The sequence below is a fragment of the Homo sapiens genome, chromosome 22 (genome assembly GCF_000001405.40).
Source record: "Homo sapiens chromosome 22, GRCh38.p14 Primary Assembly".
In the NCBI taxonomy this organism is placed as follows: Eukaryota; Metazoa; Chordata; class Mammalia; order Primates; family Hominidae; genus Homo; species Homo sapiens.
Genome location: NC_000022.11, coordinates 20,871,146 through 20,892,099, shown reverse-complemented (window position 1 = coordinate 20,892,099; position 20,954 = coordinate 20,871,146). Strand labels below are relative to the sequence as shown.

The following is a 20,954-nucleotide window of genomic DNA, read 5'->3' as shown; positions in this document are numbered from 1 at the left end:
TGATTCTCGTGCCTCAGTCTCCTGAGTAGCTGGGACTATAGGCACATGCCACCATGCCTGGCTAATTTTTGTATTTTTAATAGAGACAGCGTTTCACTGTGTTGGCCAGGCTGGTCTCGAACTTAGCTCATCATTTTATTATTTTTTAGAGACAGGGTCTCCCTCTGTTGCCCAGGCCAGAGTGCAGTGGCATGATCATAACTCACTGCAGCCTCAAATTCCTGAGCTCAAGCAATTCTCCCACCTTAGCCTCCAAAGTAGCTGGGACTAGAGGCCAAGCTATTTTTAAAAATTTTTTCTAGAGGTGGGGTCTCACTATGTTGTCCAGACTGGTCTCAAACTCCTGGCCTCAGGAGATTCTCCTGCCTCAGCCTCCCAAAGCACTGGGATTATTGGCATGAGCCACCATGCCCTGGCTCTAGCTCATCATTTTGTACTGACACCGCATTCATCAGAGCTGAAGATGCTGAACAACATTTGTAACTTTAAAATTCTACAGGTCACGTGTAATCCCAGCACTTTGGGAGGCTGAGGCGGGCAGATCACAAGGTCAGGAGTTGGAGACCAGCCTGGCCAGCACAGTGAAACCCTGTCTGTATTAAAAAAATAAAAAAATTAGCCGGGCATGGTGGTGCACACCTGTAACCCCAGCTACTCGACAGGCTGAGGCAGAATTGCTTGAACCTGGGAGGCGGAGGTTGCAGTGAGCCGAGATTGTGCCACTGCACTCCAGGCTGGGTGACTGAGTGAGACTCTATCTCAAAAAAAAAAAAAAAAAAAAAAAATCTGCAGAAAAGGCCCATATGGGCAAAGTATAAGATTATTACTAAATTGGTATAGTGTACACTTAAAATTACATATTCACAAAAAGAGGTTAAAGAGAAATTTAAATGCACTGACATTTTTATTTCTTGCAACCCGAGTTAAATTCACGTTTCATTTCCTACAGAATGCAAAAAAGACATCCACAAGGCAACTCCACTTCTAAGTTACAAATTACTAGATGTTAGAAAACTTTCTCGAAGGACAGTGCACTATTTTTTATTTTTTGAGACAGAGTCTTGCTCTGTCGCCTTGGCTCACTGCAAGCTCCGCCTCCTGAGTTCACGCCATTCTTCTGCCTCAGTCTCCCGAGTAGTTGGGACTACAGGCGCCCGCCACCATGCCCGACTAATTTTTTATATTTTTAGTAGAGACGGGGTTTCACTGTGTTAGCCAGGATGGTCTCGATCTTCTGACCTCGTGATCCGCCTGCCTTGGCCTTCCAAAGTGCTGAGATTACAGGCGTGAGCCACCGTGACCAGCCAGAGAGTGCACTATTTTTTTTTTTTTTTTTTTTTTGAGACGGAGTCTTGCTCTGTTGCCCAGGCTGGAGTGCAATGGCGCTGTCTCGGCTCACTGCAAGCTCTGCCTCCCAGGTTCATGCCATTCTCCTGCCTCAGCCTCCTGAGTAGCTGGGACTACAGGCGCCCACCACCACGCCCAGCTAATTTTTTGTGTGTTTTTAGTAGAGATGGGGTTTCACCGTGTTAGCCAGGATGGTCTCGATCTCCTGACCTCGTGATCCCCCCGCCTTGGCCTCCCAAAGCACTGGGATTACAGGCATGAGCCACCGCGCCCAGCCACTATTTTTTAAGTTAGTAGCACACTTAACATATAACCAACCTTAAGTTAGAAAAGTCATTTTTTGAAGGCACAGTTTGTTTCCAGCTCAACTGTGGAAATCAAAATCTGTCTGCAGTACCAAATCCCATCCCACAGTCAGCCCAGCCCTGGCACCATTTTGCTTGTCTCCATGAAATGTGTCTAGTCTAGAGGGTAGCATTTTTTTGTCGATCCCAATCATCATGTGAAAAGTTTCTGGAGCCATGTTACGTCTTCCTTCATTCTCTGTGAAAATGCAAGCAACTCATTTATAAAGTAGCATCAGCAACCAGGCCTTCCTGGGCATGGGAGTGGGGAAGAAGTGGCAGAAAGGACCAGCTCGCTGTCCTGTAGCTTACGGACAGTCCCCTCAGCACAGGACGTAGAACGAGAGGGTCTGAACAAGAACAGGACAAAACGAGGCCCTCTAATATGTCAGACGAAGACAAATTTCCAGAAAAGTGAAGGCAACTCCCCTTCCATATACCTGGGGTTAAGAAAAAAAAAACCAAAAAACAGAGAAGGGCGGGTGACTGGCTTCATCAGTCCAGCAAAAGACAGGGAATGTGCATAAAATAAGATGTTACTGTGCTTCAAGTCAGTTGAATCACTAATCTCATTAGGCAAGTGGAAGTCTGCTGAGAATGTGGCAGTGGCCTTTACATGTATTTATTTTAAATAATTAGCTTAGGTCTGAGCTATAATGACTAATCTCCACGAGTCTATGCCTGACGGTGATAAAAAGTTGACATACATGGAAGGTGTTAGAGGAAAGAACCAGAAACAATTACAGTAAGTGGAACCGTGCACAAAAGCTGCTCTGCATCCCGGGTTCATGCTTTTAAGCAGCCTTTTTGCTGAAAGCCTCACGAAGTAGTTTTGTTTGGGTTGAGTGTTATGTTTAAAATTTCCCTTCTACCAGTTATTGAGAAAATAATAATGCCGAGCTCATCTAATAAACAAATGTCTAGTTCGATAAGCTTTAATCAGGCCCTCACACCCTGGGATGGTCGTTAATGACATGGATCAGAATCCCTGAGGTGGCTGGAATCTAACAAGTGGGTAGCACAGAAAGCTCACCTTGCCTATGGAGGCTGTGGATATTTTTAGGAAGGTCATGCATTATGGGATGGGAATTTTTATAAACAAATTGCTACATAAAAACTAATGCACTGTTGCAGCACTTGTGGAGGTTTCCTTTGCTTTGAGACACCACTGTTTATAGGCTGCAGACTGTAAAGGGAAGTACTGGGAAATGGCAAAGGTCACATGGGCCAGTGCCATGTTTTAAGGTCAAAGGCACTGTTATTTTAAGTGACCTATCTCATTATTAAAATCAGTCACTTTCACCATCTTCAAAATATTTTGTTTTTTTAAAAAGACAAGGGCCTTGTGGCTCCAACTATTTTGTTGGATGTACCAACATAAATAAATCAGTTTTAATTGATGCTTCTGCATGATTTCTTTTGTAAAATGAAAGGAGAAAATGAACTGGGCCAGTTAAAATGGTATCTGGGCTTTTTGCCCCCTTAGCAAAATCCTTCTATACAAAGTCAGCGTCATTTATAGAGTGCCAGTCCTAAAACCAGGTGGCAGAGAAATAAGTGATGATTCAAGTTACCTTGCAAGAAGTGCAGAAGAGTGGGTGGGAATGCTAGACAGGTCAGGAGACCCCCGGTACCAAATAAACATTTTGCCCTACTGAGGCCTGCCTAATGGTGATTCCCAGAGGGGTGGAGGAAGACCATTGTGCAGCTGCATCTGTGCAATACTCCATTCCCACAAACTCTATTGGGCGCCCCTGTCGGTCAGCCTCGCAGCCTCGAGCCAGTGGAAGACCTGTTGCAAATCACAGATGGAGAGTTACAGATGGGAGCACGTGGGGAAGAGGGGCTCACCCAATTCCCCACACATTTCCAGGAGTCGCAGTGAGCAGTGCTGGTGTGAAGCCCTCCTACTAATATACATGCCAAGGATGGGGGGCTGGAGGGAAGCGGGGACATCTGCCAACAAAAGAGCAAGATGGCACACTCTATTTCCCATTCTAACACTGATCCTTTCTGGGAGGATGAAAGAATCACAGATAATGTGCTCAGAGAGTGTGTGTGTGTGTGTGTGTGTGTGTGTGTGTGTGTGTGTGTGTGAATGATGACTCCTAAACAAAGGTGTGGGAAGGACCCTCCTCCACCAAACGACTGGTTCACAGGCCCCCTTAACACTCTGACTCATGGTAAGGCTTAGGAATGAGAAATAGAGGCTCATGGCTGCAAGACTGAAATTCTGTTCCCATCTTTCCATATGCTCATTAAAATGAGAAATGCAACTCTTCTTATTCCAGCATGGTAATCAAACGCCCAAGATATGCAGGGCCAGGCTACTGTGCTCAGACAAAAACTCTAATAAGCATTTTGCTGGAAGAACTTGGTGAGGTGTTAACCCTAGGAAAATGTGGGACAAACACTTCCTTATAACAGCAAAAATGTCTTAAGACCTACTCTATTATAACATTTGCAAACACACATTAATTTACATACTAAAATAGTAAATGAAATTTCTTGGAAGTTCAAAAAAAGATCTTTCAAATCTTTTCATCACAATAGAGTGGAAATCCGTCTGTCTTCAGAGTTGTCGAACTTTTCTTTCTGTGCTTTTTATGTTGACATCTAACTTGTCCACTTTGGTTGTCAGCCGGTCAAGAATGTCATCTTGCTCCTCAATTTCTGTCTGCATCCCCAGGGCTATGTCCTTCAGACGACCCAGTCCCATGGACAGCTCATCTGCAGGAGGAGGAAATGACACGCAGGCATGAGCAAACAGTCACGGCACCTGCAAATGCTTCTTGATGGTGTGGGTAAGTGGGAGAGACAGGGATCTGTGTTGCCTGGGGGGACTGCACCCACTGCAGAGATGAGTCTTGACTTAATTGATTCTGTCAGGGTGAAGAGTAAAGCCTTTTCCCAGGTTTGTGACTGTGTGTGTGTGTGTGTATGTGTGTGTGTGTTTGTGCACGCTGGGGGTAGGGAGATATGCCCAGGGCTGCTTTCTGCCTTTTTACTAGGAACAGCAGCCAGGAAAGAGCCAGAGAGGAGAGAGAAGAGGTGGTGCTTTGTAAGCCTTCTTACTTGCAAGATTAAATATAAAACACTAAGAGAAAAAGGATCAGGATACACAAAGGCTTAGCACTGGTACCACAAATCTAAGCAAAATCAGTTTTTTGTTTTTTTTTTTTTTGAGACAGCATTTTGCTCTTTTGTCCAGGCTGGAGTGCAGTGCCATGATCTCGGCTCACTGCAACCTCCGTCTCCTGGGTTCAAGCAATTCTTCTGCCTCAGCCTCCTGAGTAGCTGGGACTACAGGCACACGCCACCACACCCGACTAATTTTTTTTGTATTTTTAGTAGAGATAGGGTTTCACCATATTGGCCAGGCTGGTCTCGAACTCCTTACCTTGTGATCCGCCCGTCTTGGCCTCCCAAAGTGCTAGGATTACAGGCGTGAGCCACCGCGCCCGGCCAAAATCAGTTTTTTTAAAAAGGTAGTTTTGGCCGGGTACAATGGCTCATGCCTGTAATCCCAGCACTTTGAGAGGCTGAGGTGGGTGGATCGTATGAGGTCGGGATTTTGAGGCCAGCTTGGCCAACATGGTGAAACCCCATCTCTACTAAAAAATATAAAAATTAGCCAGATGTGGTGGTGCATGCCTGTATTCCCTGCTACTCGGGAGGCTGAGGCAAGAGAATCACTTGAACCTGAGAGGAGGAGGTTGCAGTAAGCTGAGATCAATGCACTGCACTCCAACCTGGGCGACAGAGCAAGACTCCGTCTCAAAAAATGAAATAAAAAGATAGGCTGAGTGTGGTGGCTCATGCCTGTAATCCCAGCACTTTGGGAGGCCGAGGTGGGTGGATCACTTGAGGTCAGGAGATCGAGACCATCCTGGCTAACATGGTGAAACCCCGTCTCTACTAAAAATACAAAAATTAGCTGGGCATGGTGGTGCACACCTTGTAATCCCAGCTACTCGGGAGGCTGAGGCATGAGAATCACTTGAACCCAGCAGGCAGAGGCTGCAGTGAGCTGAGATTGTGCCACTGCACTCTAGCCTGGGCGACAGAGTAAAACTCTCAGAAAGAAATTAAAAAATATAAAAATAAAAAGATTGTCTTCAAGTCAGGCACAGTGGCTCATGCTTGTAATCCCAGCACTCTGGGAGGCTGAGGTGGGAGGATCACTTGAGCCCAGAAGTTGGAGACTAGCCTGGGCAACAAAGCGAGACTCCATTTCTAAAAAAGAAAAGAAAAGAAAGAGAAAAACAGTATAATTAAAATTAAAAAAAAAAAAAAGATAAGTCTTCAGCTCTTTGCTTCTTAAGCTTACTAAAATTCATGGCCTCGTGCTCCATGGAGAGCAGAGCCTGTGGTTGCCTCAGGCCTCAGGAGGAAGCTCACTGGCAGCCAGGGCAGCAAAGGATAAGCAAACAGAGAGGCTGAGATAAAATGTGTGATAATGTAAAACCACCAGGCCAGGGCGCTGGAGTCCAGAGAGCTTGCCTGAGATCCTGAAATAGCAGGGAGATAGTGTTAAGACGGGAAGAGTGTGAACAAAGGCAACACTCCCTGCCCCACCAGAGTGGACCGGCCTGGCCTGTGTCAGCAGGGCCAGAGGGCTGAGCTCTGAACTAGCCACTCGCCCTTCTGCCCAGGCCCACCTCCTACTCTAGACTGCGTCCTGCCGGTAACTGCCCAGCTGCTCGTCCACAGTGCCAACTGTGCACCCTCAGCACCTCCTAGTGGCGGGCAGTACTCAGCACTTCTTCCTGCCTCTGAATGCAGTATCCTTCCTCAAAGTCCCTTCTCCCACTTCTGCCAGCAGGCACCAACCATACCACTAGCCCTAACCTCTCCCTTTCTCGCAGTGAAGGACAAAGGGCTTTCACGCCTCTCTGGGCTTCTCTGGAGTGGTTAGATCTGGGCAGACACACCTTCTGCCTCAGATAAGTCTTTGGCTCTGGAGGACAGAGTCCAGGGCATAGAAGGAGGTGGCAGCTGTCTGGGGCTTCCCAGACAGCAAGCAGGAGAAAACCCGTGCACAGACACTCCATGTGCATCTTCATGGGTTTCAGTTTTGCCTTCCACTAGATACCTTTACAGCAGGGGAGGATTTTATTATTTGTCCCCTACACTTTGCCAACTCCTAACAGGGGGTGGGAGACTGACAGGGTGACCCAGGTCACCACGGGGGAGATTTCTGCTCAGGGAGTAGCGGTAGGAGGAGGCAGCAAGTCTGAGACACTACTTAGAATAAACTCACAGAACTGCCCACAGGCCAACACCTACTTGAATTTCAAGTAACTGACTTTTCCATTCAAAAAATAATCACTGGCTAGGGCGCAGTGGCTCACACCTATAATCCCAGCACTTTGGGAGGCCGAGACAGGCGGGTCACCTGAGGTCGGGAGTTCGAGACCAGCCTGACCAACAAGGAGAAACCTCATCTCTACTAAAAATACAAAATTAGCTGAGCATGGTGGTGCATGTCTGTAATTCCAGCTACTCGGGAGGCCGAGGCAGGAGAATCGCTTGAACCCAGGAGGCAGCGGTTGCAGTGAGCTGAGATTGCACCATTGCACTGCAGCCTGGGCAACAAAAGCAAAACTCTGTCTCAAAACAAAACAAAACAAAACAAAACATAATCACTAAGTGCTTGCCTGCTGGGCCCCAGATACAAAGTAGTGACAAAATGGAAACACTCCCATGCTGTCCTGGAATCTACAGTCTGATTGGGAAGACAGCAGGCAAACCAGCAGATACACAATCACAAACGGCCAGGGCAGCCCCCTGGAAACACAAGGGTCCTGAGAGACAGGGAGAGGAGGCCATACTAATGCAAGACTGACAGAAAGAGAAGGAGCCAGCCTACAGAGAGTCGGGGGAGCCCATCCAGGCAGATAGGGGCCACGAGGCAGAAAGAACTCACATCAGAAATCCCACACGAGCCTGCAGGTGATGAGGGCAGAAGGGACTAGGGCAGCCAAAGAGAGCCTGGACTGCACTGTGAGTGTGTGGGGTTCCATGAGAGAGTTCTGGAAGAATATACCCTTCACTTCTTCTTTTTTTTTTTTTTTAGGTGGAGTTTCGCTCTTGTTGCCCAGGTTGGAGTGCAATGGTGCGATCTTGGCTCACTGCAACCTCTGCCTCCCGGGTTCAAGTGATTCTCCTGCCTCAGCCACCCGATAGCTGGGATTACAGGCGCCTGCCACCACGCCCGGCTAATTTTTGTATTTTTAGTAGAGACAGGGTTTCACCATGTTGGTCAGGCTGGTCTTGAACTCCTGACCTCGGGTGATCCACCCGCCTTGGCCTCCCAAAGTGCTGGGATTGCAGGCGTGAGCCACTGCGCCCGGCCCCCTGCACACCCTTCCGTTTTGAAACATCATGCTGGAGGCTGTGTGGCCAAAGTGCCAATTGCAACACGAGCACTAACTCTTACCATCCCAGGCACTTTCTGGCTCAGGTAACCTTTCCACTGTTCTCAGAGGTAGCCCATTTCACAAGGAGGAAAACAGGGCTCTGAGTGGCCAGGTGGGAAGGATGAAGTGAGCGGTCACGTCCAGGCTATACTTTATGGCCTCTCAGGGACTCCTGGGTCCCTGGTGCTGTTCATGAAAGTGAGAGGTGGGGAGGGCTCGGCTGGGCTAGAAGTAGGAAATGGTGAGAAGTGGAGAGATTCCAGAGACAGTGAGGTGGCAAGATGGACCCAGCTTGGCGTGGGATGTGATGTGTGGTGAGGGAACTGAAGCTGGAGGATGCTCATGCAGGGGCTATGCTTGGCGTAAGCTGCCTGAAGGACAGTGGCTTACAGAAGCTGGTGTGGTGCTCAGTCTTACCTAGGTTGCTGTCGATCTTCTGGTGATAGGCTCGAAGGTGTGGGTTCTTTGGGTAAGCATCAGTACTCATGGCAGAACCAGCCCCTCTGGGGACAGGGTCTAAGTTTAGAAGGAAACACCAGGAGAGCGGTTAATTGACATTCCTTCAAATGCTGCTTCACACACCCAAAACAATTTCATCTGGAAAATGGGTGGAAGGAACGAAGGGGTTGGTTCTGAGGCTATCCAGAGGGATGAGGGAGGAGCACAGCGCAGGCTCATGGGCCAGAAGAAGAGACGCTTCCACGGGGTAGGAGAGGGTTCTCACTTTCCCTCAGTACTTGGGAGATCAAACACCCTCAAATTAAGGGTCACCTAACTCCTGGTGCACAAGCTCAGGAAAGACAGAGTCACACAAGTGACAATACAGAAGTGGAACTGCAATAATGCAAAACTACACAGTCTGTGGACAAAGTATAAAAATACAAATTGTTACGTTACATAAATGGAATTATGGGTAATTTCGTTTCTTTCTGAAATTTATTTCTACACTATCTTTGCACTTGAAACAAATACGCAAAAAAAAAAAAAAGAAATGTTAAATAATGCACATTTGCCACAAGAAATCTTCCTTGAACTTTTAGTTTCTTCTTTTTTAAAATTATCTTTCTTGGCTTGAATGAACTTCAGTTTCTAAACGCACACGGAAAAGCCCTGTCATCCCGGTTTATCTCTTTCAGGGAAACTTCACTTTCTAGACTTAGCACATTTCCTCCAGCACCAACCAACTGAAACCATTCTGCAAACTGTGTCGATTTTTTCTTCAGTCTTTTAAGTTAATATATACTGCACAAATAAAAACTCTCTTTAATTCCTTAAAATTGTGTCTTGGGTGCAGTGTCCTGTGCCCCTTCTCCAGGGTGTGATGAGGCCGGTTTTCCCAGCCCTTGCCTTTCAATTTACACTCACTTCCTCCACTTGCCTTTCCAGAATGAACTGTGCTGATGATGTTAGTCTCTCCTGCTCCCCGCTCTTCCTCCATCTGGGCTCTCCTCAGCTGCATCAACCACAACCATGGTGGGTTCCAGAGCTTCCATGGTGTATCGTTTTCTTGAAGGCAGCACAGTAAGCCTTTGGTTTCTAGCACCAATTTCAATGTACCTGGCTATTGTGGGGGCCTATGGAGGAGGCCCCAGGAGCCCTAAATTCCTTTCCAGATAAGGGATGTTTCTGGGCCTATCACTTGATAGAAGTGGAATGATTCGATCAACACTGTCTTGCACACCTTGTCCATGTGGCTGCTGCTCCTTCTGCTTGGGCTGGAGGCTGTATTAGTCCCTCACTGATGCTGTGACAAATGACCACAAACTTGTCTTACGGTTCTGGAGGTCAGAAGTCCAACATGGGTCTCACTGGGCTGAGTCGGGGTGTCCTCAGGGTTGCACTCCTTCTGGAGCTCTTGGGAAGAATCTAATTCCTCGCCTTTTGCAGTTTCTACAGTTCACCCGTGTACCTTGGCAGGTGGGCCCCTTTCTCTATCTTCAAGGCCAGCAGCATCTTCAGATCTCTGACTCTGCTGCTCTCTCTCCTGCTTCTCTTTCCACTTAAAAGGGACCTTTGTGATGACACTGGACCCAACTGGACAACCCAGGATAATCTCCCCATCTTGCTGATTAGCAATTGTAACTCCATCTGCAACTGTAATTCCACCTTTGCCATATAACCTAACACACTCACGGGGTCTGGGGATTAGGACGTGGACAGCTTTGAGGGGCCAGTATTCTATTTACCAAGGGGTTTTTCTGCAGTTGGCTTTTTACTGCTGGAACAATTGAGAATGACACAGGCAGGAACCAATGATGGGCACGCTCATTTTCTTTTTTGAGACAGAGTTTCACTCTTGTTGCCCAGGCTATAGTGCAGTGGCGTGATCTCAGCTCACTGCAACCTCCGCCTCCCAGATACAAGTGATTCTCCTGTCCAAGCCTCCCAAGTAGCTTGGATTAGAGGCATGTGCCACCACATTTGGCTAATTTTTTTGTATTTAGTAGAGACAGGGTTTCACCACGTTATTAGTAAGGCTGGTCACAAACTCCTGACCTCAGGTGATTCACCCAGCTTGGCCTCCCAAAGTGCTGGGATTACAGGCGTGTGTTACTGCACCAGGCTGGCCGGGCAGGCTCATTTTCAATGGAATGCAGGCCCTCACTTCCTTGTTCTCCTCTCCATGGAGGGAGGGAGGGAGAGAAGGAGGAGCCCCACCATAATGCACACCCCCAGCTCCGCAAGAGCATGCGGGGTCCCTAAGGCCCTTTGGCTAGCATGGGTGATGCCAGCAGCTGGGGCCCCTGCCCACCTCCCCAGAGAGGTTGCCACTGCCCCCCAAGGACCAACGCCAAACCTAGAGGTCTCCCCCCAGAATTCAAATGTGGCTGTGCACACAGGTATCCACTTACCTGTATCATCCAGCTTTCTAAGGTTTGGGTGGCTGGCCTGGTACTTTGCTTCCTGTTCTTTACTTGTACTTATAGCTTCTTTCAATCTTTGGATAAAAGTTCACAAAAAAGAAAACGTTTAAAAAGGAAAAACCCCTATGACAATGTTATCAGTCTTTTCACATAATGCCTGTGTGCTAAAAATCAAATGCCTCCTCTGTGCCAAACTCCTTCTGACCAAAGTAGGGATTTCAACAGCTTCTCCCAGGAGCACAGTGGGCCAAGCAGTAAGCTTATGAAGACCCCTGCCTCAGAAGTGTGGCAGCTAAGCCAGGTGTGGTGACTCATGCCTGTAATCCCAGCATTTTGGGAAACTGAGGTGGGAGAATTGCCTGAGCCCACGAGTGTGAGATCTGGGAAACATAATGAGACCTTGTCTTTACTGAAAAAAAAGAAAAAAAAAGCAGTGTAGCATCGAGTTAGGTGGCCCTCTCTCAGGGAAACCTGGATTCCTAGGACCAGGCAGATGAAAAGCACATGGAACAACCAAACCGGTACTTTAGACTACAGTCAGCAAACAATGACCTGCTGATCACATCTGGCTCACCTCCTGTTTTTGTACTGTTTCCCCGTTCTTTTTTTTTTTTTTTGAGATGGAGTCTTGCTTTGTCACCCAGGCTGGAGTGCAGTGGCGTGATCTTGGCTCACTGCAACCTCTGCCTCTCGGGTTCAAGTGATTCTCCCGCCTTAGTCTCCCGAGTAGCTGGGATATTACAGTTATAGGCAGGTGCCACCATCCCCAGCTAATTTCTGTATTTTCAGTAGAGATGGGGTTTCACCATGTTGGCCAGGCTGGTCTCTAACTCCTGATCTCAAGTGATCCACCCACCTCGGCCTCCCAAAGTGTTGGGATTACAGACATGAGCCACTGCGCCTGGCCCCAAGTTATTTTTATTATGGTAAAATACACAAAACAAAATTTCACCTGTTTTTATATGACCATGAGCAAAGAATGGCCTTAGAGATGACCATGTGCACCTCAGATGACAAACTTAGAACCTCAAGAGTTTCATTCCTCTCATTAGTGCACTTATATTACCAGAATACTGTACTCAACTATTACTGTTTTTGTTGTTGTTGTTTGAGATAGGGTCTCTCTCTGTCACCAAGTTTGGAGTATAGTGGTGCAAACACTGAAGTCTCTAACTCCTAGGCTCGTGATCCTCCCACCTCAGCCTCCTGGGTAACTGAGACCACAGGCACTCACCACCCTGCCTGGCTTTTTTTTTTTTTTTTTTTTTTTTAAATTTTTTCAGACAGAGTCTCGCTCTGTCACCTAGGCTGGAGTGCAGTGGCGCAATCTTGGCTCACTGCAGCCTCTGCCTCCCGGGTTCAAGTGATTCTCCTGCCTCAGGCTCCTGAGTAGCTGGGATTACAGGCCCCCACCACACCTGGCTATTTTTTGTATTTTTAGTAGAGACAGAGTTTCACCATGTTGGGCAGGCTGGTCACGAACTCCTGACCTCAGGTGATCCGCCCGCCTTAGCCTCCCAAAGTTCTGGGATTACAGGCATAAGCCACCATGCTTGGCCAATTCTTAAATTGTTTTTTCTTTTTGAGACAGAGTCTTGCTCTGTTGCCCAGGCTGGAGTGCAGTGGCGTGATCTCGATTTACTGCAACCTCCATCTCCCGGGTTCAAGCTATTCTTCTGCCTCAGCCTCCTGAGTAGCTGGGATTACAGGTGCCTACTCAAGTGATCCCCCTGCCTCAGCCTCCAAAAGTGCCAGGATTACAGCCATGCAGGCATGAGCCACTGTGTCCAGCCTATTACTTTTTTTTTTTTTTTTTGAGATGGAGTCTCACTCTGTTGCCCAGGCTGGAGTGCAGTGGCACGATCTCGGCTCACTGCAACCTCTGCTGACCAGGTTTACACCATTCTCCTGTCTCAGCCTCCTGAGTAGCTGGGACTACAGGCGCCCACTACCACGCCCGGCTAATTTTTTGTATTTTTAGTGGAGACGGGGTTTCACCGTGTTAGCCGGAATGGTCTCGATCTCCTGACCTCGTGATCCGCCCACCTTGGCCTCCCAAAGTGCTGGGATTACAGGCGTGAGCCACTGCACCCGGCCACTGTTTTTATATTTTAAATTTTGTCACTAAAAAGTTGTGAAAGTATGTTTTTTTCTCATCACGTAAGTCCCTATAAAATATCTTTGATTTTGCTCCGTGGCCTAGTTTGCTGACTCTGGCTGTAGACAGGGATAGCTCTTGCAACTCAAAGTCATTTAGACTATGCCTGATGCCCTGCTGATCCCCGACATCCTGCTGAGCCCCCTAAGGTATGGCAGGTGCCTCCAGCTGGGAGCTGTGCCTCCCCAACAGCCTGCTCTCCTCTATCTCAACAGCAGCCTGACCACTTCGCCAGCCAATCTGGGAATCAGGGTTACTCGCAATTTTTGCCCTCCCCCTGCACAGCGCTACTCCCAGTAATCCAGGCAAAACAAACGCCCTCTTGATCTCCCACCCCCTAAGTAGCCCAGAAACCCAGCCTCTCCTTCTGCCTTGCCTTTTTTTTTTGAGACATAGTCTCGCTCTGTCACCCAGGCTGGAGTGCAGTGGCGTGATCTCCACGCACTGCAAGCTCCGCCTCCTGGGTTCACGCCATTCTCCTGCCTCAGCCTCCCAAGTAGCTGGGACTACAGGCGCCCGCCACCACGCCCGGCTAATTTTTTGTATTTTTAGTACAGGGTTTTTGTATTTTATTTTGTATTTTGTATTTTAGAGACAGGGTTTCACTGTGTTAGCCAGGATGGTCTCGATCTCCTGACCTCATGATCTGCCCGCCTCGGCCTCCCAAAGTGCTGGGATTACAGGCTTGAGCCACCGTGCCCGGCCTGCCTTGCTTTTCTTTACCTTTAACAAGGATTATGGCAATGCCTCTCAATTCAATTCCCTCCCTTCCAATCCTTACTCCCCATGGGTGCTGCGCATCTTTCTAAAGCAATACTGGCAAGCACCTCTTCAGTTAAAGTCTTTAATGACTCCCAACTTGCAAGAGCAAGTCCAGACTCCCGCAAGCTAAGGGTTTTGCAGGCCCAGGGCTCCAGCTATGGGTAGAATGCAGCAGAGCCTGGTGAATGGAAGGATTTAACACTCCAGGATTTCACCCCACGGAAGCTGTGACTGAAAGTCTAGAACACAGAACTGGCTCCTCTAAGCACCACTGTGGGCAGTGCATTGCCATGCTGGGAGTAGGAAGAGACACTTGGCTTCTGAGTCTGCCTGGCCACCTTTCAGCCTGCACATCTCAACGCTGGCTTTATTCTTTCTATGTGCCATCACATATATACTGGTAATACATAAATGAGGAAAACAATGGTTTCTTTGTGAAAAATGGCTCCCCCACAAAGAAAGCCAATTTTTTTCTTTTTCTTTTTTTGAGACGGAGTCTAGCTCTGTCTCCCAGGCTGGAGTGCAGGGGCATGACCTCGGCTCACTGCAACCTCCACCTCCCTGGTTCAAGAGATTCTCCTGCTTCAGCCTCCTGAGTAGCTGGGATTATAGGTGAGCGCCACTACGCCCGGCTAATTTTTTTTTTTAGAGGGAGTTCTGCTCTTGTTGCCCAGGCTGGGGTACAATGGTGCGATCTTGGCTTACTGCAACCTCTGCCTCCCTGGTTCAAGCGATTCTCCTGCCTCAGCCTCCCAAGTAGCTGAGATTACAGGTGTGTGCCACCTTGCTTGGCTCATTTTGTATTTTTAGTAGAGACAGGGTTTCTCCATGTTGGTGAGGCTGGTCTCGAACTCCTGACCTCAGGTGATCCACCCTCCTTGGCCTCCCAAAGTGCTGGGATTACAGGCGTGAGCCACCGTGCCAGGCCTGATTTTTGTATTTTTAGTAGAGACAGGGTTTCATCATGTTGGCTAGGCTGGTCTTGAACACCTGACTTTGTGATCCGCCCACCTCAACCTCCAAAGTGCTGGGATTATAGGCGTGAGCCACCACGCTCAGCCAAGAAAGCCAATTTCTAGGGAGACTGAGAAAAGTGATAAGACAGTAGAGGTTTAAGAGAGGGTGGTTCCTGGTCAGAAACCAAGTCTTAAATAAGTTAGAGAATTTCAAATTAAGGGTGCATATGTGACAGGAACGCATGAGCTGTAAGTGGAAATGAGAACAAGCAGCTTGGAAAGCTGTCAGCAAGGACAAACAGGGCTTCCCAAGAGACAAAACTTCAGAGAAGGCCGAAGGGTTTGTGTGATAATGATGTACACAGGAAATGCATGACTGAACAGAAGTTTGATAGGAGAAACTTATTTTAAAAGCTTTTGAGGCCGAGGCGGGCAGATCACTAGGTCAGGAGATCGAGACCATCCTGGCTAACATGGTGAAACCCCATCTCTACTAAAAATACAAAAAAAATTTAGCCGGGCGTGGTGGCGGGTGCCTGTAGTCCCAGCTGCTTGGGAAGCTGAGGCAGGAGAATGGCGTGAACGTGGGAGACGGAGCTTGCAGTGAGCCGAGATCACGCCACTGCACTCCAGCCTGGGTGACAGAGCGAGATTCCATCTCAAAAAAAAAAAAAAAAAGCTTTTAAGTGGGCCAGGCACAGTGGCTCATGCCTGCAATCCTAGCACTTTGGGAGGCTGAGGCGGGAAGATCAGTTGAGCCCAGGTGGTTGAGATCAGCCTGGGAGACAAAGTGAGACCTTGTTTCTACAAAAAATACGAAAATTAGCAGTGCATGGTGGCCCATGCATGTAGTCCCAGCTACTTGGGAGGCAGAGGTGGGAGGGTTGCTGGATCCTGGGAGGTGGAGGATACAGTGAGCAGAGACTGCACCACTGCACTCCAGCCTGGGCGACAGAGCGAGACATTGTCTTAAAAAAAAAAAAAAAAAAAAGGCAAAGTTTTTAAGTGACAGTATTCCTGCATTTATGGATTAAAGGTTTTGACAGGATCACAAAAATTTTACTCACAATTTATTGCATTTTTTTTTTTTGAGATGGAGTCTCTGTCGCCCAGGCTGGACTGCAGTGGCTTGATCTTGGCTCACTGCAACCTCCACCTCCCGGGTTCATGCCATTCTCCTGCCTCAGCCTCCCAAGCAGCTGGGACTACAGGTGCCCACCATCACCCCTGGCTAATTTTTTGTATTTTTAGTAGAGACGGGGTTTCACCGTGTTAGCTAGGATGGTCTCGATCTCCTGACCTCGTGATCCGCCCACCTTAGCCTCCCAAAAGTGCTGGGATTACAGGCGTGAGCCACTGCACCCAGCCGCCCCCCCATTTTTTTTTTTGGTCGTCCATGTAAATATGACTACAGGCCTGTATCACCATGCCCAGCTTTAAAAATTTTTTATGTTTGTAGAGACAGAATCTTGCTATGTTGCCCAGGCTGATCTTCAACTCCTGGCCCCAAGTGATTGTCCTGCCTTGGCCTTATAAAATGTTGGGATAACAGGCATGAGCCACTGTGTCTGGCCCTGCTGGGCCCTTGAAATGGCCAACAACTTCCTTCATCCCGGCTTCCCCTGTGCTTTTACTGCCATGTGCCTGCACCAACCCCTCCTTCAATTGGTGGGTTCCCTCAAAACCTTCACCTTCTGCAAAAAGTCAGGTCCTTTGTGCAGCCTTCCTCTGTTCCCAGGGCCAACCTCCCTCTCCTCTGGGTCCCCACTGCATCCCTGTGGACTGTCTGCCTCCCCCATATCTTCCAACAGACAGACTGCATTCCTGCAGCTTCTGCTCCCACAGAACTGCAGAGTGTGGGTGAAAGTTTTGCTTTCTTGAATTTACTAAGAGATGGCAAGAATGCTACAACTGATTGGGGCTAATCTAGGGGCAGGCCAGGCAGGGTACATGACTTTGGGGACCTTGACGGGAACGCATCAGCTTTAAGTGGAAATGAGAACAAGCAGCTTGGAAAGCTGTCAGCAAGGACAAACAGGACTTCCCAAGAGACAAAGCCCACCTCACTGAAATAACTATGGCTGCCTCACTGATGGAAGCCTTTGCTGGGAAGCCCCTGAGTTTTCATGATGCTCCAAAAAAAGAAAACTGCCCCTGGAGCCACAGGACTTCCATGGCTTTCATAGCTATGTTCAGGGATGCAGGGGCCTCCAAGAGCCCCAGAAGCAGCCTTTGTGAAGAGGTATGTAGGATGTGGAAGGGTGTGAAAGGGTGCTAGTCACAAACTTGCCAGCTTCCCACTCCTCCAAGGGCTCACTCTGCTCCTGAGTTTGTACATGGAGGATGTCTTAGACCAAAACAAATGAACATCCTACCTTCTCCTATGGCAATTAAATGTGGCCAAAGATTAGGATATAAAACATCTTTCTGATATGTATATTGAAAAAAAAACAACAAAAAACAAGCAACGACTAGAACTGGAGGGAAATGGCGGATGTTTAAAATTAGGGTTGAGCTGGAGAACCCAGAATGGTGATTATGGCTGAGCCAAAAAAACCAACCAACCCTCATAACCTTAGCTAGTGCCTCCCCAGGGCACTCACTGAGGCCGGCAGGTTCCCAGGGCCAACTCTGCAGGTCCCTCCTGCAGTACTTTTTTTTTTTTTTTTTTTGAGATAGGGTCTCACTCTGTCACCCAGGCTGGAGTAGACTGGTACAATCATAGCTCATTGTAGGCTCAACCTCCCTGGGTTCAGGTGATCCTCCCACCTAAGCCAAAAGGTCGGGTCCACCTCAGCCACCTCAGTAGCTGGGACCACAAGCACGTACCACCATGTCCGGCTAATTTTCGTGTGTGTGTGTGTGTGTGTGTGTGTGTGTGTGTGTGTGTGTGTGTGGCTAATTTTCGTGTGTGTGTGTGTGTGTGTGTCTGTGTGTGTCTGTGTGTGTCAGAGTCTTGCTCTGTCGCCCAGGCTGGAGTGCAGTGGCGTGATCTCAGCTCACTGTTGCAGTGGCGTGATCTCAGCTCACTGTAAGCTCCGCCTCCTGGGTTCACGCCATACACATTTCTCACCCTCCCGAGTAGCTGGGACCACAGGCGCCCGCCACCACACCCGGATAATATTTTGTATTTTTAGTAGAGACGGGGTTTCACCGTGTTAGCCAGGATGGTCTCAATCTCCTGACCTCGTGCTCCGTTGGCCTTGGCCTCCCAAAGTGCTGGGATTACAGGCGTGACTCACCATGCCCGGCCTTTTTTTTTTTTTTTTTTTTTTTTTTTTTGAGACAGAGTCTCACTGTTACCCAGGCTGAGGTGCAGTGGTGCAATCTCCGCTCACTACAACCTCTGCCTCCCAGGCTTAAGGGATTCTCCTCCTCAGCCTCCCAAGTAGCTGGGGCTACAGGCAGGCACCACCATGCCTGGCTGATTTTTGTATTTTTAGGAGACACTGGGTTTCACCATGTTGGCTGGCCTGGTCTCACACTCCTGACCTCAAACGATGCACCCGCCTCGGCCTCCCAAAGTGCTGGGATTACAGGCCTGAACCACCATGCCCAACTTCATTTTTGTGTTTTTCTGTAGAGACGGGGTTTTGTCATGTTGCTCAGGCTGGGATCAAGTGATCCTCCTGCCTCAGTCTCCCAAATTGCTGGGATTACAGGCATGAGCCACCATGCCTGAACCTCTCCATAACTCTTGATGGCTTCGCCTGCCTGTTCTTTCTGCCATCACCACCAGCTTTGTTACCTACACTGGTTTCTCCCCAGCCCCACTCTGAGTTTGAAGTAGTTATCTAATTTCCTCCCTGCCACACCCTACATCTTGATCTGGGTGGTGGCCACACTAGTGTACACAGGTTCACAGTCACTGGCTCTCCACTTAAGATGCACATATTTTACTGTACCTTAGTGATGCATTAAAAAAAACGGCTCTGCAGTTAGGTGTGGTGGCTCATGCCTGTAATCCTAGCACTTTGGGAGGCCGAGGTGGGAGGACTGCTTGAGGCCAGGAGTTCAAGACCAACCTGGCCAACACAGCAAGACCTCATCTCTTAAAAAATAAATAAATAAAATGAAAAAGAAAAGCTCCACATTACAGAATTAAAACAAAGAGAGAGGCCAGGTGTGGTGGCTCACGCCCATAATCCTAGCACTTTGGAAGGCTGAGGCGGGCGGATCATCTGAGATCAAGAGTTCGAGACTATCCTGGCCAACATGGAGAAACCCCATCTCTCCTAAAAATACAAAAATTAACCAGGCATGGTGACACATGCCTGTAATCCCAGCTACTCAGGAGGCTGAGGCAAGAGAATTGCTTGAACCTGGGAGACAGAGGTTTCAGTGAGCTGAGATGGTGCCACTGCACTCCAGCCTGGGCAACAGAGTGAGACTCTGTCTCAAAAAAAAAAAAAAAAAAAAAAAAAAAGCCTGGCGTGGTGGCTCGGCACTCTAGGAGGCTGAGGCAGGTGGATCACCTGAGGTCAGGAGTTTGAGACCAGACTGGCCAACATGGTGAAACCCCATCTCTACTAAAAATACAAAAATTAGGCCGGATGTGGTGGCTCACGCCTGTAATCCCAGCACTTTGGAAGGCGGAGGCGGATGGATCACGAAGTCAGGAGGTCGAGACCATCCTGGCTAACACGGTGAAACCCCGTCTCTACTAAAAATACAAAAAATTAGCCAGGCATGGTGGCAGGCGCCTGTAGTCCCAGCTACTCGGGAGGCTGAGGCAGGAGAACGGCATGAACCCGGGAGGCGGAGCTTGCAGTGAGCCGAGATCGCACCACTGCACTCCAGCCTGGGTGACAGAGTGAGACTCCGTCTCAAAAAAAAAGAATTAGCCAGGCATGGTGTGGGCACCTGTGATCCCAGCTACTTGGGAGGCTGAGGCAGGAGAATCGCTTTAACCTGGAAGGCAGAGGTTGCAGTGAGCTGAGATCACGTCTTTGCACTCCAGCCTGGGCAACAAGGGTGAAACTCCATCTCAAAAAAAATAAATAAATAAAATAAAAAATAAATAAATAAAAGAGAGAGAGAGAGATGGTTATGGAACCTGAGTTATCACATAATATCAAGCAGTTTTTCTGGGTTAAATGGAAGAAAAAGGCTATCAAACCAAAAGAATACTATGGTTACAACTATGAAAATACTGAATAAGGGGAAAATGAAATTTTCTGTTTTTGTGTTGCGGTAGGTAAAGTATAGATTGTCTGTAATGTGGCCATGTTGTTTTTGTAATAAAAACAGACACAGTGATCTGAAATACAAACAATAGTAATCTACTTCAGCAGAAACTCCATTCCTTTATCCTTGAACATGTAACACTGAAGTCTACCAAAATCTCATGAATTTTTTTTTTTTTGAGACGGAGTCTTGCTCTGTCGCCCAGGCTGCAGTGCAGTGGCATGATCTCAGCTCACTGCAAGCTCCACCTCCCGGGTTCACACCATTCTCCTGCCTCAGCCTCCCGAGTAGCTGGGACTACGGGCGCCCGCCATCACGCCCAGCTAATTTTTTGTATTTTTAATAGAGACAGGGTTTCACCATGTTAGCCAGGATGGTCTTGATTTCCTGACTTGGTGATCCACCCGCCTCGGCCTCCCCAAGTGCTAGGATTATAGGCGTGAGCCACCGTGCCTGGCCCCCAGTCTCATGTATGATTTTATATTTCGAGCCAAAACCTGAGGAAAGCAACTTCTAACTTTATTTTTTTGATTTTAATTATTTAGCTTTAAATCTTTTTTTTTTTTTTTTTTTTTTTAGAGACAGGGAGACTCTGTCACTGATGCTGTAGTGCAGTGGCACCATCATAGCTTAACTCTAGTCTCTAACACCTGGGCTAAAGCAATCCTTCCACCTCAGTCTCCCCTGTAGCTAGGAATATAGGCACGTGCCATCATGTCTGGCTAATTTTTTTTTTTTTTTAGTTTTTATAGAGACGGGTCTTTGCTATGTTGTCTAGGCTGGTCTCAAACAATCCTCCTACCTTAGCCTCTGAAAGCATGGGATTTTACAGATAAGCCACTGAGCCCAGCCTTATAATTTTCAAATAAAAATCAATGGGCGAATTGGATTAGATATGACAAATTTAGACATAA

The 20,954-nt window shown here is 48.1% G+C and overlaps 1 protein-coding gene across 1 annotated transcript in view, besides 3 other annotated features; it reads right to left on the bottom strand.

The window, feature by feature from the left end:
* The window catches only part of SNAP29 (synaptosome associated protein 29), a 32,208-nt gene continuing 12,139 nt past the window's right edge, over positions 886 to 20,954 (bottom strand). The window contains exons 3-5 of the mRNA NM_004782.4: positions 10,966 to 11,051; positions 8,531 to 8,629; positions 886 to 4,421 (exon numbers count right to left, since the gene is read on the bottom strand). Of these exons, the coding sequence (NP_004773.1) occupies positions 4,264 to 4,421; positions 8,531 to 8,629; positions 10,966 to 11,051 (343 nt within the window). The 3' untranslated portion in view covers positions 886 to 4,263. The remainder of the gene's footprint in view (positions 4,422 to 8,530; positions 8,630 to 10,965; positions 11,052 to 20,954) is intronic.
* Positions 5,829 to 6,329: an enhancer, noted in NCBI's record as "H3K4me1 hESC enhancer chr22:21240059-21240559 (GRCh37/hg19 assembly coordinates)". NCBI's record gives its function as "activates a minimal SCP1, AML or CMV promoter by ChIP-STARR-seq in primed H9 embryonic stem cells {active_cell/tissue: H9 hESC(primed)}" and the evidence as "EXISTENCE:reporter gene assay evidence [ECO:0000049][PMID:30033119]".
* Positions 14,933 to 15,133: a silencer, noted in NCBI's record as "peak4460 fragment used in MPRA reporter construct". NCBI's record gives its function as "represses an SCP1 promoter by STARR-seq MPRAs in K562 erythroleukemia cells {active_cell/tissue: K562}" and the evidence as "EXISTENCE:reporter gene assay evidence [ECO:0000049][PMID:32103011]".
* Positions 19,149 to 19,338: a silencer, noted in NCBI's record as "fragment chr22:21227050-21227239 (GRCh37/hg19 assembly coordinates)". NCBI's record gives its function as "represses an EF-1alpha promoter that drives an FKBP-Casp9 reporter gene in an ReSE screen in K562 erythroleukemia cells {active_cell/tissue: K562}" and the evidence as "EXISTENCE:reporter gene assay evidence [ECO:0000049][PMID:32094911]".